At 44.7% G+C, this 16,106-nt stretch overlaps 1 protein-coding gene across 13 annotated transcripts in view, besides 1 other annotated feature; it reads right to left on the reverse strand.

Annotated features, from left to right (window-relative positions):
* The window catches only part of TAMM41 (TAM41 mitochondrial translocator assembly and maintenance homolog), a 124,990-nt gene that overhangs the window by 59,349 nt on the left and 49,535 nt on the right, over positions 1 to 16,106 (reverse strand). For 12 of the 13 annotated variants that reach the window (NR_135611.2, NR_158711.1, NR_158710.1 and 9 more), the window contains one exon: positions 9,198 to 9,337. The exons of the other annotated variant lie outside the window; for it this stretch is intronic. Coding sequence is in view for 4 of the 12 variants with exons in the window: in NM_138807.4 (NP_620162.1) it covers positions 9,261 to 9,337 (77 nt within the window). In the remaining 8 variants the exon portion in view is untranslated. Of the gene's footprint in view, positions 1 to 9,197; positions 9,338 to 16,106 lie in introns of those variants that run through there. 13 annotated transcript variants of the gene reach the window in all.
* Positions 3,925 to 4,480: an enhancer, noted in NCBI's record as "H3K27ac-H3K4me1 hESC enhancer chr3:11826643-11827198 (GRCh37/hg19 assembly coordinates)". NCBI's record gives its function as "activates a minimal SCP1, AML or CMV promoter by ChIP-STARR-seq in primed H9 embryonic stem cells {active_cell/tissue: H9 hESC(primed)}" and the evidence as "EXISTENCE:reporter gene assay evidence [ECO:0000049][PMID:30033119]".

Genomic DNA, 16,106 nt, shown 5'->3' on the forward strand with positions numbered 1-16,106 from the left:
GGGGACAGTGAAATTCAAGTTAGTTAGGAGCTAAATTTAGGCAGATGTCCTGTAGTGTTTGGAAAGAATGATGGGCTCAGACGTTTTGTTCTTCCTGATCTCAGAAATGCTACTGAAGCTCTTAGCCCTGTTATAATTTACCCATATGTGGGGTGGGTAGAACAGCATGCTGAAGCGAAAGGGGAATTAAGTAAAAAGTAAGAGACCCGGTCAGGTGCGGTGGCTCACACCTGTAATCCCAGCACTTTGGGAGGCCAAGGCTGGTGGATCACCTGAGGTCAGGAGTTCGAGAGCAGCCTGGCCAACATGGCAAAACCCCATCTCTACTAAAAATACGAAAATTAGCCAAGCATGGTGGTGCACATCTGGAATCCCAGCTACTCAGGAGGCTGAGGCAGGAGAATTGCTTGAACCTGGGAGGTGGAGGTTGCAGTGAGCCAAGATCATACCACTACACTCCAGCCTGGGTGAAAAAGTGGGACTCCATCTCAAAATAATAATAATAATAATAATAATAATAATAATAATAATAATAATCATACAAATAAGAGACCCAGGTTTTTGTCCCAGTCGTCAACAAATTGGTGTGACCTTGGAAGTCACAGCCTGCCTGGGTTGACTCATCCCACCGGTAAGGTGAAGGAGTTTAGATGGTTTTAAAGTTTCCTATTAATTCTGACATATCATGCATGTATCATCTCTTCTGATGTAGCTCATTCTAGGAAGGAATTTTCTATGGTCCCACTTCATCTCAGAAGGAACAGAGAAAAGAAAGCAATGACACCAGGTGTCTTTAGCTGCATGGCCAGTGATGGCTGAAAATAATCATGGGTCAGATCACCTGGATACACATGGAGAGAACAACCCACATCCTGCAGGCATGGCCCAAAGATGGGGTGTGATACTGGAAAGTGAATGCATTTTTGAGTCATACAGAACTGAATTCAAATCCCACTATGGGGCTAAATTAACCTCTGTAATCCTGTTTTCTTGGTTGTAAAATTTTTTTTTAAAAGTTGGGCTGGGTGTGGTGGCTCACACCTGTAGTCCTAGCACTTTAAGAGGCCAAGGTGGATGGATCACTTGAGCCCAGCAGCTCAAGACCAGCCTAGGCAACATGGTGAAACCCCATCTCTACTAAAAACACAAAAAATTAGCCAGGGGTGGTGGTGCGTGCCCATAGTCTCAGTTACTTGGGAGGCTAAGGTGGTAGGATGGCCTGAGCCCAGGAAGTCAGGGCTGCAGTAAGCTGAGATTGTGCCACTGCACTCCGGCCTGGGTGACAGAATGAGACCCTGTCTCAAAAAAAAAAAAAAAGAAAAAAAAAGTGGGATCGTATCTACGTTGTAGGAGTAGGATAAGGATTAAGTGAGGCTGTTTACATATTACACCTTCTATAAATCATAGGCCTTCCATAAACCTTAGGTTTTCTCCATTTTTATACAGTCCACTAGTTCAAAGTACTTTCACAGATAATGGCCTGTGCCTGTGAAACTTTAGTTTACTCCTTTATTCCTCCCCACACGGTTGGAGTTTGGGGCATGGACTTTTCTGTGGGTTCAAGCTCAGTGATTTTTTGGTGGGACAGAGTGCCTGAGTCAATGAGCATCTTCCCTTAGTTTAATGCAGCATCTGATGAGATTCAGTCCTGTGTGTCCTCTAGCTCACTGAGGGTGTTTTGGAGGGACAGGGCTCAGGTAGGACTCGGAGCTTGAAGACTCACTGCAATGGAGAGCCTCAAAGGAGTAAGGATCCATGATTCAGCTGGAGCTGCAGACCAGGCCTCTGGCCATGGAGACCCTCAGCAACCCCGAGGGTGCTGGACAAGAGCTTCTCCTTTCTAAAGTCCTGCTTATGTGCCAGAGTATAAAAGAATCTCACTGAGCACATGGCTATTTTGACTCTCATTTAGTGGTCACTTGGGCTCTGATATTATTGCACTTGTGGGCAGAGGCAGCTCATCAGTGCTGGGCTTTCTTGCATTTATGGTTTTGCCAAACCACTTTTTCTCCAGTCTCCCAGGGACTGATGATTTTGGAGCACAGTGAGGAAACTCAACCATCAGCTCCAAACATCACCTGGCTCAACCATAAAGCCCAACATCACCTGGCTAATCTGTGACAGAGCTGACCTGGGGGGTATGACTAGCCACCTTTGGTCACCAAATCCAAAGCTTTTCCCAGGATCACCTGGCTAATAAAGGGAAATGTTAGGATTAGAAGCCAGGGCAAGCAACCTGGAGACAAGCTCTCTTTTAGGAATCAGACTTTTCATGAGATAGTTGTAAATTCTGAAACAATGTTTTAAGGAATTCTAGCCACAAATCAGGACGATGTCATTTGCCAGGCATTGTTTAGTCAACTGGTTATTTTTATAAGTGAGTATAAGATTCATAACTCCAAGAGACAGTTATCAAATGGCAGTAATATCAACAATAACAGCTACCATTTACTGGGCACCTATTGTGTGCTTAGCTGTGGTATGGTATAGAGAAACACCTGCCCATGATGACTGAGCAGTGGTTAAGAGCACTGAGACCGGATTCAGACCATTCAAACATGGGCTTGAATCCTGGTTCTACCACTTAACTAGCTGTGTGACTTTAGGCAAGGTACTTAACCTCTTTGAGCCTGTTTCCTGATTTGTAAAGTTAGAATAATAGTATTTGCCTTATTGGGTTGTGTAAGGATGAATGAGTTAATACAAGAAACATTGCTCCAAATAGTAAGCACTATCAAATTCTCATTACTCAAAATGTAAAATGTGGAACCATGTTCAATAAAAGTTAAAGACTACAACAACCCGATACAGACAGGACCCATAGGGACAGCTCTTCAGTAGTGGAGATTTGGGCCCCAACCAGGTAAGGAACTCTGCCCAAATGAAGTACAGGCTGAGGGCAACAGGAACACAGAATGAGTAAAGGGAGAAAGATGCCGTATCTACTGTGATATCATAACCTTTTTAAAAAATGATGTGGTGGCTCATGCCTGTAATTCTGGCACTTTGGGAGGCCGAGGAGGGCAGATCACTTGAGTTCAGGAGTTTGAGACCAGCTGGTCAACATGGTGAAACCCTGTCTCTACTAACAATACAAAAAATTAGCCAGGTGTGGTGGTGTGAGCCTGTAATCCCAGCTACTCAGGAGGCTGAGGTGGGAGAATCACTTGAACCTGGGAGGTGGAGGTTGCAGTGAGCCAAGATCGTGCCACTGCACTCCAGCCTGGGCAACAGAGCAAGACTCTGTCTCAAAAAACAAAAGAAACCAAAACCAAAACAAAAAAGGTAGGCATATTTCCTTCCTTGCGTGGTAATGTGTATATACATACTCACGGACAGGCACACGGGTATTTTTAACCCCTTCCCTTCAACTATTTTCTATGAGGAGAGTGGGTGGTGGTTAATGTTATAGGCTAGTTTCTAAATTATACAAAATCCAGTTGGGATTCTAATTAAAAGAGGCATTAACATCACCCACAGATGAATACAGTAACTGTAGGGACTTTGTTTACTCTTTCCTGCCAGAAAAGTGAGAACACTTCTTTTCTTTTCTTTTTTTTTTTTTTTTTTTTTGAGGAGGAGGAGTCTCGCTCTGTCCCCCAGGGTGGAGTGCAGTGGCGCAATCGTGGCTCACTGCAACTTCCGCCTCCCGGGTTCAAGTGATTCTCCAGCCTCAGCCTCCCAAGTAGTTGGGACTACAGGTGCCCGCCACCACCCCTGGCTAATTTGAGAGCATTTTCTTTTGTACAAAGGATAGCTGCATCACGTTGGGTGGAAACAGGAAGCTGCTGCTGGTGTATGGAAATTTACATATGATTGAAGGGTGGATCTGGATGCTCAGTCACCACAGGGAGGTGTTTCTCTGGTGAGCTCGGCCATTCCTCTGTACTCCACTCTCTACTGCTGGGTAGGAGCCTGCAAACTATGTTGCCCAGGTTTCTCACCAGCTGGCTTTCTATTAGGTTTTGCTGATTGGAGACCGTGGTGTCAGATCAGAAGATAGGAGGAAGAGAAGTTCCTGGGTTTGTCTGCAACTGCAGCAGCAGTTACTGGTGGTTGTCAAGTGGCATCTGGTTTTTGTTTTTGTTTTGTTTTGTTTTGAGATGGAGTCTTGCTCTGTCACCAGGCTGGAGTGCAGTGGCGCAATCTTGGCTCACTGCAACCTCCACCTCCTGGGTTCAAGTGATTCTCCTGCCTCAGCCTCCTGAGTAGATGGGACTACAGGCACCCCCTACCATGCCCAGCTAAGTTTTGTATTTTTAGTAGAGATGGGGTTTCACCATGTTGGCCAGGATGGTCTTGATCTCTTGACCTCGTCATCCACCTACCTCGGCCTCCCAAAATGCTGGGATTACAGGTGTGAGCCACCGTGCCCAGCCTGTTTTTTTCAGTCAGAGTCTCGCTCTCTCACCCAGGCTGGCGTGCAGTGCCACGATCTCCGCTCACTGCAGCCTTGACCTCCCGGGGTTCAGGTGATTCTGCCATCTCTGCCTCCCAAGTAGCTGGGACCACGGGTGCGCACCACTGCTCCCAGCTAATTTTTTGTTTACTTTTTGTAGAGATGAGGTCTCACTATGTTGTCCAGGCGGGCCTCAAACTCCTGAGCTCAAGCAATCCACCCACCTTGGCCTCCCAAAGTGCTGGGATTACAGGTGTTAGCCACCGTGCCTGGCCCAAGTGGCATCTGGGCAGTGGTGGTGACTCTGGCAGCTCTAGCAGTGGCAAAGGCATAAGTTTTCAGAGGACTTGTATACAGTATCTAATGCTGTGTACAAGTCTTCTGAACTGTGTACAAGTCTTCTGAAAACTTAATGACTTTTTAATCTTTTTGAGAGACAGAGTCTCGCTCTGGTGCCCAGGCTGGTGTGGGCTTGTAGGTTCCAATACAGGGCTGTTAGCAGCTTCCTGATGTGCAGCTTCTCTGCACGTAATCCTTCCTTCTCCAGGGTACCCCTTCTTTTTTGTTTGCCAGCCCTCCCAACATCTTTGTAACAAAATCCCTACATTAAGTTCCATTTATTTATTTATTTATTTATTTAATTTTATTATTATTATTATTATTATTATTATTATTTTTTGAGATGGAATCTTGCTCTGTCACTTAGGCCGGAGTACAGTGGCACGATCTTGGCTCATCGCAACCTCCACCTCCCAGGTTCAAGCAATTCTCCTGCCTCAGCCTCCTGAGTAGCTGGGATTACAGGCATGAGCCACCACACCTGGCTAATTTTTGTATTTTTAGTAGAGATGGGGTTTCACCATGTTGGCCAGGCTGGTTTCGAACTCCTGACCTCGTGATCCACCCGCCTCAGCCTCCCAAAGTGCTGGGATTACAGGCGTGAGCCACTGCAGCCAGCCCCTTCTATTTATTATACTTAGGGTTGTTTTCATTTTTCTTGACTAGATTGTGCAGTGGCACAATCACAGCTCACTGCAGCCTCAACCTTCTAGGCTCAAGCAATCCTCCCACCTCAACCTCCTGAGTAGCTGGGGCTACAGGTGTGTGCTACCATATTTTAAAGTTTTTGTAGAGATGCGGAAGTCTCACTATGTTGCCTGGGCTGGTCTTGAACTCCTGGGCTCAAGCGATTTTCCCACCTCAGCCTCCCAAAGTGCTGGGATTACACGTGTGAGCCACCACGCCTGGACAACTCAATGACTTTAAATGACAATGATCATTTTCTTATTCTCCCTCACACTTCCAAAAGCTGACTGGGCTTGGCTAGGCAGGTCCTGCTTGGGCTCTCTTGTTCTGTCATAGTCACAGTGGCTGGGGCTGGAGTTAAAGGCTTGCTCACTCACTTGTCTGGCAATTGATGTTGGACATCAGCCAGAACACCTCCATGTGGCCTCTCCCAGTGGCTTGGGCACCCTCACAACATGGCGGCTGGGTTGCAAGCCAAGTGTCCTGAGAGAGAGCCGGAAGGAAGCTGTGTCACCTTTTAGGACCTAGCCTTGGAAGTCATAGAGCATCTCATCTGTTATATTCTACCTGTTAGAAGCAAGTCACTAAGGCCCACCGACATTCAAGGAGGGAAAATGAATGCTACTGCTAGGAGGTGGGCCAAAGAATTTGTGAACATATTTTGAAACCGCTACAGGGAGCATCTCCAGCAACACAGCAGCAGGTGTGGGCTTGTAAGTTCCAGTCCAGGGATGTTAGCAGCGTCCTGATGTGCAGATTCTCTCCACGTCATCCCTTCTTCCTCCTCCAGGATACCCCTTCTTTTTTGTTTCCCAGCCTCCCAACATCTTTCTAACAAATTCCCTATATTAAATTCCTTCTATTTGATATACTTAGGGTTGTTTCCATTTTCTTGACTAGACTGACTAATATATGAGGGACTATCCCATGCCATCTAAACTCACCATCTGAACTGGATAGCAGAGATACTATCATGATGTGCCAAGAACCACGTTAGGTAATTTACGTTATGTCATTTAATTCTAACACCAAACCTGACAGATGGGTATAAGAATACCTACATCATAGATATAGAAACTAAGGTTCAGAAGGGTTAAGCAACTTGACCAAGGACACAGCTGGAAAGAGTTGAGAACCAACTCCAGGTGTGACACCAAAGTACATTTATTTCTTGAGCCTTCTGGAATGAGAAGAGCTACTTACTCCCGAAGAGTTCCACTTCCCTCAGAGAAAGTCTTACCTCTCCTCCTTATATGGCTTTTTGATGAATCACCTTAGATTGAGGAAAAGGAAGAATACATCTGGGGCAGTGGAACACAAAGACACAAGTATTCATCATTTGTGAAAACTGCAGGCTGTGTGAGAAAAGGCACTACACTGGAGTCTGGAAGCCAGGGTTCAAGCCCCAGCAATGTTACTCACATATGTTGGGACCCCAGGCAGTCACTTCCTCTCCAGAGGCCTGATTCCATAGCTGGAGAGTGACCCTGGTGTTCTGTGCTCCAATGAGTATCTAGTTGGTAAAGTATCTACTTTGGGAATATAAAAAGCTCTATCAGATACAGAGGACAGAAGTTAAAGTAAAATAAAGCCAGATTATAGTGGGTCTTGAATAGGCTGAGGAAAAATTCGTATCGTATAAGCAGTGGAGAATCCATTTTGTCGCCCAGGCTGGAATACAGCGGCACAATCACAGATCACTGCAGCCTTGACCTCCTGGGCTCAAGTGGTCCTCCCTCCCAAGTGGCTGGGACCACAGGCATGTGCCACCACATCTAGCTAATTTGAAAAAAACTTTTTGTAGTGATGTGCTCTCGCTATGTTGCCCAAGCTGCTCTTGAATTCCTGGGCTCAAGCAACTCTCCAGCCTCAGCCTTCCAAAGTGCTGGGATTCCAAGCATGAGCCACCATGCCCAGTCTATTTTGGGTTCTGAAGGAAAAAACTTACACAAATAAACAAAAAGGCTTATAGAAGAAAATAATAGGCCAAGCACAGTGGCTCACGCCTGTAATCCCAGCACTTTGGGAGGCCGAGGTGGGTGGATCACCTGAGGTCAGGAGTTCAAGACCAGCCTGGCCAACATGATGAAACCCTGTTTCTACTAAAAATAGAAAAAATTAGCTGGGCGTGGTGGCAGCCACCTGTAATCCCAGCTACTCGGGACGCTGAAGCAGGAGAATTGCTTGAACCCAGGAGGTGGAGGTTGCAGTGAGCCAAGATCATGCCACTGCATTCCAGCCTGGGCAACAAGGGCGAAATTCCATCTTGAAAAAACAAAAAAGAAAAAAGAAAAAAAAGAAAGAAAGAAAAAGAAAAAGAAAATAATAACAAAACCAATAATACAAAGGAACCACAGCAGCAACAACCATTTGCTCAATGCTAGGCACAAGGTGCTACCCTAGGTGTTCTACAGGGGTGAGTGCACAGACCAGCACAACTCGAAGAGGTCTGTAATGTTATTTCCATCTCACAGACAGTGAAACTATTCAGAGGCTCGATAACTTGCCCAAAATCACATATCTGGTCAGTAGTGGCGATGAGATATAACTCAGTTTGGCTGAATCTGAAGTCTGCACTCTTCACTATGCTATGGGTTAGAATGAGCTGAACTCAATAGTAAACAAAAAATAAGTAGACAAGGAATTATTCAAATGTACAAGAGAGCCTACGGGTCTGCACTAGAATACTTGGCAATGCAAATACAGAGTGTGAGGTGGGACAAAGACGATTTGCAGGAAAAAAAGACAAGCTGAGGTTCAATCAAATAGATTCATATAGCTTGTTAGGTGGATGAGGTGGGAGGAGGTGGTTGCTTCCCAACAGCTCTTTCTCCTCAATTCCCATTTAAGTGTCTACTCCTTCTCTGAAGCCTGTGAGCCTGAGGGGAGGGAAGTTACCTCTTGGGCTGGGGCTGGTGGCTCAGGCCTGAGCCTATCAGCTTAGTTCCATCCTTTGTCCATTTACTGGCTCTGGGATGGGCATGGCACCCAATCAGCATCCGTGAAACCAGACAGAGGCTTGCTAGGGGCTGTTGGGAAGGTTTCTTGCTTTTCTAAGAGGCCATCTGAAAGGAGTCTTCTCTGTGGCTCCCAGTTGTGATTTGGAAGCCCACAGCCCTTGAAGCTGCTGCCAGCAGTCTCATGACAGAGCAAAGCCAGCCTCAGCACGATGCTAACACTGCAGAGGGCAGAGAGATGGAGAGAAACTGGGGTACATGATTCTGTCCTTTGTTGTTCAAGGCACTCTGCAGTGGGTTTCCTGTTGCCCAAACACGTCCTAACTGTTACAATAAGGCAGGCTCTGCAAGGTGTCTGTTCCAGGCTCCTAACCCAAAAGTCACTGCCATACACTTTAGTGGAGAACAAAGAAACACACGAAAAGCCTAGATCCAGGGAAATGTTGACGTGACACTTGCGAGCCCCTGCTGGAAAAAAAACAAGTGAACAGGATGGAGACTAGAGACATAACAAGCCAGGCAGAGAAAGTCAAGCTTCCACACCCTGTAAGTTTCCTGGGCTACGTGTTGACAGCATACAAGAAATTTGTCATGTCTGACTCTCACGTACCTACAGAATGCAGGACAGGCAAAGCTATTCTGCAGGACCCACATGACTTTGTACATGGAGAGGGTTCTTTTCTTCTGATGCTAAGCCCTCTAATATATTTGGGTCCCAACTGGATAAATGTCTGATGCATACATTTAAAAAACCAAGTATTATGCAAACCAGGGTATCTTTGAATTCAAGCAATGGGTCAAAGTAACAAACACTGTTCTGTCAAAAAGGATCAAACACTTTATTCATCTACACATAACATATATAAAAGCAAGCAAAATCAGGATGTTTTCCTCAGCCACCCTTTCCACATTTTGTGCAGTTTTAGTGAACTATAAATCACTGACTTCTTCAGGCCTAAAAGAGAAAAGATGAGAAAGTAAGAAGATGGAGGCTTGTTGAGTGGATGCTCAGAGTTTCAGTGACATTCTGAGCAGACTTGTCTTTGGAGGAGGGCAGTGAGGGGCTGACCCGTGGCTCTAGGAGACCAGGGAGCTGAAGGTGATTAAAGGTCACTGTGATCAATGTAGGGGGAAATGATTCTGATTTCGGCATTTTCCGATTTAGGGCTATGGATGCCAACGGTTCCTAAGTTATTGGGATAAGTGATCCTTTTGAGTTATGAACATATTGGCAGCCTCTGAATTTAGCTCTTTCAAAAAGGTAGGACAAGGATAAGACTCTGTATGCCACTGGGTCCCCGTTCTCTCAGGCCTAAATTCCAACCCCACCTCACTGTCTCTATGTCACTGTGAAAGGCACCTGTCTGACTATGACAAATGCTGTTCCCATCACTTTCTGCCTCGTTGACTTGGAATCCCTGTTTGGATTTCTTCTCTAGGAAGTGCTTCCCTGGACCCACAGGGTGGCCCCACAGCATCTGTGCTCACTCAACACACTGTGCAGTACGTGTGGGCCGATTCACCCACGCCTCTGCCTGGACTGGGAGCTTCCTGAGGACAGGGACCTTGCCCTGTTCACCTAGGTGGCCCTGTCACCTAGTACAGGACCCAGAACACAGCAGGTGCTCTGTGAAAGCTTTTGAAATGACAAGACAAATGTGCCTCATTCGGAGAGCTGGCCCCCTAGCACCCCCATCTACTTAGTCAGGAGTGTGTGATGAAACTGGAGAAAGGCTCTCCGGGGGCTTAGGGGAAAGAAGAAAAAGGGAATAAAATAAATGGGTGTTATTTGTCAGATCTAAGAGTATCCTATCTGTGGATGCGATTATGGACTCAACTTCCTTTGTGTTGAGGGTGGGATCATTCAGTTTGTGTTTCAGGGTGTGGCCCAAAGATATGAACAGTCTTTTTCACTGTGAGACACAAACTGTGATCTGTGCTATGAGTGTAAAGTGCACACCCCTGGCAGTGCACTTTGGTGAGCATGCCGACAAGGTAACAGGTTTCGCTCTGGACATGCCTAGCACTGGGGTTTGAGTGATGGCTTGAAAATATCTGGCCCTGTTACCTGTAAACTGCTTAGTCCACTTAGAGCCTTGGAAAAGACCACTGCAGACAGTGGCAGGGGAGCAGTAAAATCATTAATGAATACTTCCAGACACTCTGGCTTCGTTTGTCTACCAGCTGACTACTTGCAAACCAACATAACCTAGTCAACAAACTCAGAGTTCCTTTCCCTGCCTCCACCCCTTTTAATTTTCTCCCTGGAGCAACCACTCTGGTAAACCCCACCCACTTCAGCATTGAGACTAGAAGCTTATTATATAAGGTGGTTTTTAAAATTCCAGCCAGAACCAACCAAAAGACCAAGCCGAATACAGGTAGTTATACATGGAAAGGTTCATATAGCAACCCCAGGGCACTGAGTCACAGCTAGAGGAGGATGCATGGGCCATGATAATTCCCAGCTCAACTTCAAAAAGCAGTTCCTGGATCTTAAACATTTAAGGTAAATACATAAAGTAGAAGAGTGTCACCATGTAGCCATTTTTTTTTTTTGTTGCTGCTAGTGGACAGAAATCTCCCTTGACTAAAACATTCTCCCTTTCATGGTTCTGCCAGTGAGACATTTTCAGAAAGACTGCAGCAGGGAAATCTGTTAGAAAGAGCACTAGAATCGGAGTCAAGAGACCTGGACTCTAGTTCCAGGTGGGCCACAAACTAACAGTGGCCTTTCCCTGGGCCTCAATTTCCTTATCTGTAAAATGACTGGGTTGGAATAGATGAGGGGTTCTCTAACAAGGGGTCCACAGATTAAGTCTGAGTGTCTGTGAACTCCCTAACACTGCAGGAAAATCTACTGTGTGTGTGCGTAGGTGCACTTCTGTGCAGGGCGTCCAGAGTTCTAGTCAGATTTTCACAGGGATCCTGGACTTGCAAAAGGCTAAGAACCAACAGATCAGAATGAAGAGTCTTTTCTGCCTTAATATTATAATTTCAACAGAGGTGGAGAACTTAAATTTCATGATTTTGGAATAGGCAAAAATTTTCTAAACAGGACACAAAAAACTGCTAAACATATAGAAAACAAAATGGATAAACTGGACTACATGAAATTATGAACTTCTTTTCACCAAAAGACACCATTAAGAGAGTGAAATGACATGGCTTACAGCCATAATCCCAACACTTAGGGAGGCCGAGGCGGGCAGACCATGAGGTCAGGAGATCAAGACCAACCTGGCCAACATGGTGAAACCCCGTCTCTACTAAAAATACAAAAAATTAGCCAGGCGTGGTGGCATGTGCCTGTAGTCCCAGCTACTTAGGAGGCTGGGACAGGGGAATCGCTTGAGCCCGGGAAGCGGAGGTTGCAATGAGCCGAGATCACGCCACTGCACTCCAGCCTGGCCACAGAGCAAGGCCCCATCTCAAAAAAAAAAAAAAAAAAAAAAAAAGAGAGTGAAATGACAAGCCACGGAGTGGGGGATTTTGACATCACATGTATCCAACAATGGAGTTGTGCCCCGACTACAGAGAGAATTCAGTAAGCAAAAGAGACAACTCAGTAGGAAAATGAGCAGAAGACTAGAATAGACGCTTCACAAAAGAGCATATCCAAATAAACAAATGAAAAATGCTCAACTTCCTCAGTCATGAGGAAAATGTAAATTAAAAGATCAATATGGTACCACTAGTCACCCACTAGAGTGCCTAAAATGAAAAAGACCTAAACAGGCATTCAGGGAGGTGCTGCAACAGAAGCTCTGCTAGTGCAAGTATAAATGTGGACGATTGTTTAGCAGTTTCTACTAAAGCTGAACAGTCACATGCTTTATCATCCAGGTATTCTACCCCTCAGTACATACCTGACAGGAATGCATACACCCACCCACCAAAAGACAGGTACAAAAATATTCACAGCAGCACTACTTCTAATAGTCCCAAGCGGGAACAACCCAAGTATCCATCAATAGTAGAATGGATACATTGCGGTATATTCACACAGCAGAATACTGCACTGGGCAGAAATGAACCACTGCTACTCCCAACACGATGAATCTCCCTATGTTATAAATGAACAGGGAAAGGCACAAAAGAGGACATGCTTATACATGGTTAAAAAATGGGTAAAACAGAACCGTGGCACTGGGAGTCAGGCTGGAGCTTACTCTCGGAGAAGCAATGCCTGTGACGGGCATGAGGGGTACTGGGGACTGGAATGACTGTATTTCTTTACCTGGGCACTAGGTCTATGAGGTGTTCCCTTTGTGGAAATTCATCAGATTTATGATTTTTGCACTTTTCTATCTATATGGAGATATTTCCTACTACCAGAAAATTTAGAATCTTTCATTTATTTGGTCACACATAGAACAAATATTTATTGAGCACCTGTATAAGCAAGACACTGAACTAGTTGCTAGGGATACTGGTACAGATAACAGCTATGGTCTCTGCCCTCACAGAGTCCACAATCCATAGACTTCTACTTGGTCTACACTAAGCTTACTTTCTTCAATTTTTTTTTTTTTTTTTTTACTCTGTCGCCCAGGTTGGAGTGCAGTGGCATAATCAAAGCTCACTGGAGCCTCGATCTTCTGGGCTCAAGAGATCCTCTCTCCTCATCTTCCTGAGTAGCTGGGGCTACAGGTACATGCCACCACGCCCGGCTAATTTTATTTTATTTTTGTAGAGATGGGGTCTTGCTTTGTTGCCCAGGCTGGTCTTGAACCCTTGGCCTCAAGCCATCCTCCCACCTTAGCCTCCCAAAGTGCTAGGATTACAGGTGTGAGCCTCTGTGCCCAGATTACATTAAGCTTACTCTTTCTACAGGAAAGGATGATGATTTAGGAATTCTGCTCACTCCTTCCCCAGTGGATAAAAATGCAACATCTCTTTAGATGCATTCCCTGTAGAGAGATCCTTATTTACCTAAAGCTAGTCATTATGAATTCTGGTTAGAATCTAAAGTCAGGATTTTGTTTTAGAAGCATGCAGAAAGCTATGTCACTATATGGCTCCTTAGGTTTCTCTTCTGATTTCCAGCTTGTTTCACATGACCTACAGCGAAGTTAATACACACGTAAGACTATGAACTCCCCGTGTGATCTTAAAACAGATGGGCTACTGACAGACAAACTCTCCAGGAAACAATGTGAGGTAGAAATATGGCTAGGCTGTGAAAGATCTCTATCTTTCCATAATCTTACGTTTCAGACCTTTGATAAAATTAGTATCCCCAAAACATCCTTCCAGTTCATTTCCAACCATAAGCAGATATATCGACAAAGAAAATCTCTTCTGAGGCAAAAGTACAACTTATTTTAAGAACTCACAGGCTTAAGTGATAAGCAAATCAGCAACAGAGCACCAGTGTTCTTCTAATTTAAATATATAGATACCAACAAATGGAAGAAATGCTTCAGTTTTAAGAAATCAGAAGCAGAGGATAATGACTAATCCATTCTACTGTGTTCCCGGAAAAGGCTGGTAAGGATCAACTGAGGCATGCCTTTTAGGAGCAAGACTGAACCTGTCTTGTTAATTTAGTTTAGTTGAATCTTTTGAAGCTAGAGAGGTAAACAGGTATTTGTCCCCAGAGTTAATTCTGATTGACCACAAAGTCAGGTGGGAAAAAATAGGATTTAAAAATTAAACTCATCATCCTCGCCCAACCTCCCCCTCTGCTCAGGGAATGAATGGCTCTACTGCTTCCCAGGCCAAAAACCTGGGAGTTAGTTCTGACTCCTCCTTCATGTCCCATATCCCTTTAGTCACCAAGACCCAGTCGTTCCCTTCTAAACACGGCAAATCTTTCCTGTCTGAACTGCAATGACCTGAGTTCAGGCTGCTGTAACTCCTCAGCTGACTGGCTGTAGCCATATCTATTTGGTCTCCCTCGCAATAGGTTTACTGCCCTTCCATTTGATCTCTATGCTCTAACTACGGTAGTCTTTCGGCAGTCCTATGGTGACTTCCCTCTGCCCTCAAAAGAAACCCTGAACTCCTTAACATGGCTTTTAAAGTCTTTGTTTGGCCCCTGCTTATCTCTCCATCTGATCACTAAACTCCCCCATTTCTCATCTACCTATTCCCACACCAGAGTACTCAGACAGTTCCCCTTCTCTCCACTCGCGTTAGAAACTTTATAAAAGGCTGCTGCTCGAATATGCAGTTGCTTAGCTGGTCTTTTGTTGCCAGTTTGAGATGTGAGGTCATCTGCTGCTACCATGAAAGGAAGAGCAGGCAAATTTTAGGAGGCTAAATAGTCTTTTGGTACTCCTAAGCCAGCTGGCTTCAGTTGCTGATCTGATGAGAATGATGTTATTCTACTAGCAGCACAGTCTAAGGGAAATTAAAACGATTTGCTAAATAATCAACTCCCAGGCTAAAGGAAAAGGAAAACAGTGTTTGGTTTTGGAAGCAATTCTCTAATCACATTTGAACATGAGTGTATGTGATGGTCAGGGAATTTCAAGGGAACTAATAAAGACAAAGCATCAGTGAGACTGCATTGAGGACATACTGCCATGTTATCCAACAGTGTTTACTAGGAAGGGCAGTCCTCCGAGCTGGTTATAGATGCCTGGCTTCCATCTTTTGTAGGAGTAGAGTGAAATTTAGATCTACATTCATCTAAATTTATAAAGCACCTCTGGATAACACCCTGGACGCTCTCATGTAAGCCTCAGAACACCTTGTGAGTTGGGTATTAGTATTCCCACCACCTCACAGAAGAGAGAATAACATACCATAGTCATAGAGTGAAGAAATGAATAATTCAGAACCCCAAAACCCTATCCTCTGACCCCAAGCTTAGCTCCTTCACTAAGCGGATTCCCGGAATTTAACTGAATTTGACCTTTGTATTGGCTGGCTAAGGGGAAGACCAAATCTTCCTTTTTATCCCATTTATGAGTAGGAGGTTGCACAGGGGAGGAGGGGTAATGGCTACAAAAGAATAAAAAGTAAACCAAATATGCTAGGGTTTTCTCATCCTACAGATGACATACGAGCTGGCTGAAAAACTGAACAGAGGCAGAACTTGAGAAATTTTGGGGAGAAGGACCTAAAAAAGTAAGGCAGAACAACAACAGCTATGATGACAACAAAAGGACTCATAAAGAACAAGGTGGATCTCAGCTCAAAAGCTCCTTCAGCTGATAAACAACTTCAGTAAAGTCTCAGGATACAAAAATCAATGTGCAAAAATCACCAGCATTCCAATACAACAACAACAGTCAAGCCAAGAGCCAATTAAGAACGCAACCCCATTCACAACTGCCATAAAAAGGAATACATCTAACCAGGGAGGTGAAAGATCTCTACAAGGAGAACTACAAAACACTGCTCAAAGAAATCAGAGATGACACAAACAAATGGAAAACTTTCCCATGTTCATAGATAGAAAGAACCAATACTGTTAAAATGGTCATAGTGCCTAAAGCAATTTATATATTCAAGGCTATTCCTATTAAACTACCAATGACATTCTTCACAGAACTAGAAAAAAACTATTTTAAAATTCATATGGAACCAAAAGAGCCCGAATAGCCAAGGCAACACTAAGCAAAAAGAACAAAGCTGGAGGCCTCATGCTACCCGACTTCAAACTATAAATACAGGGCTACAGTAACCAAAACAGCATGGTGCTGGTACAAAAACAGACACATAGACCAATGGAACAGAACAGAGAACCCGGAAATAAGGCTGCACACCTA

Source organism: Homo sapiens, chromosome 3 (assembly GCF_000001405.40).
Source record: "Homo sapiens chromosome 3, GRCh38.p14 Primary Assembly".
Classification (NCBI taxonomy): Eukaryota; Metazoa; Chordata; class Mammalia; order Primates; family Hominidae; genus Homo; species Homo sapiens.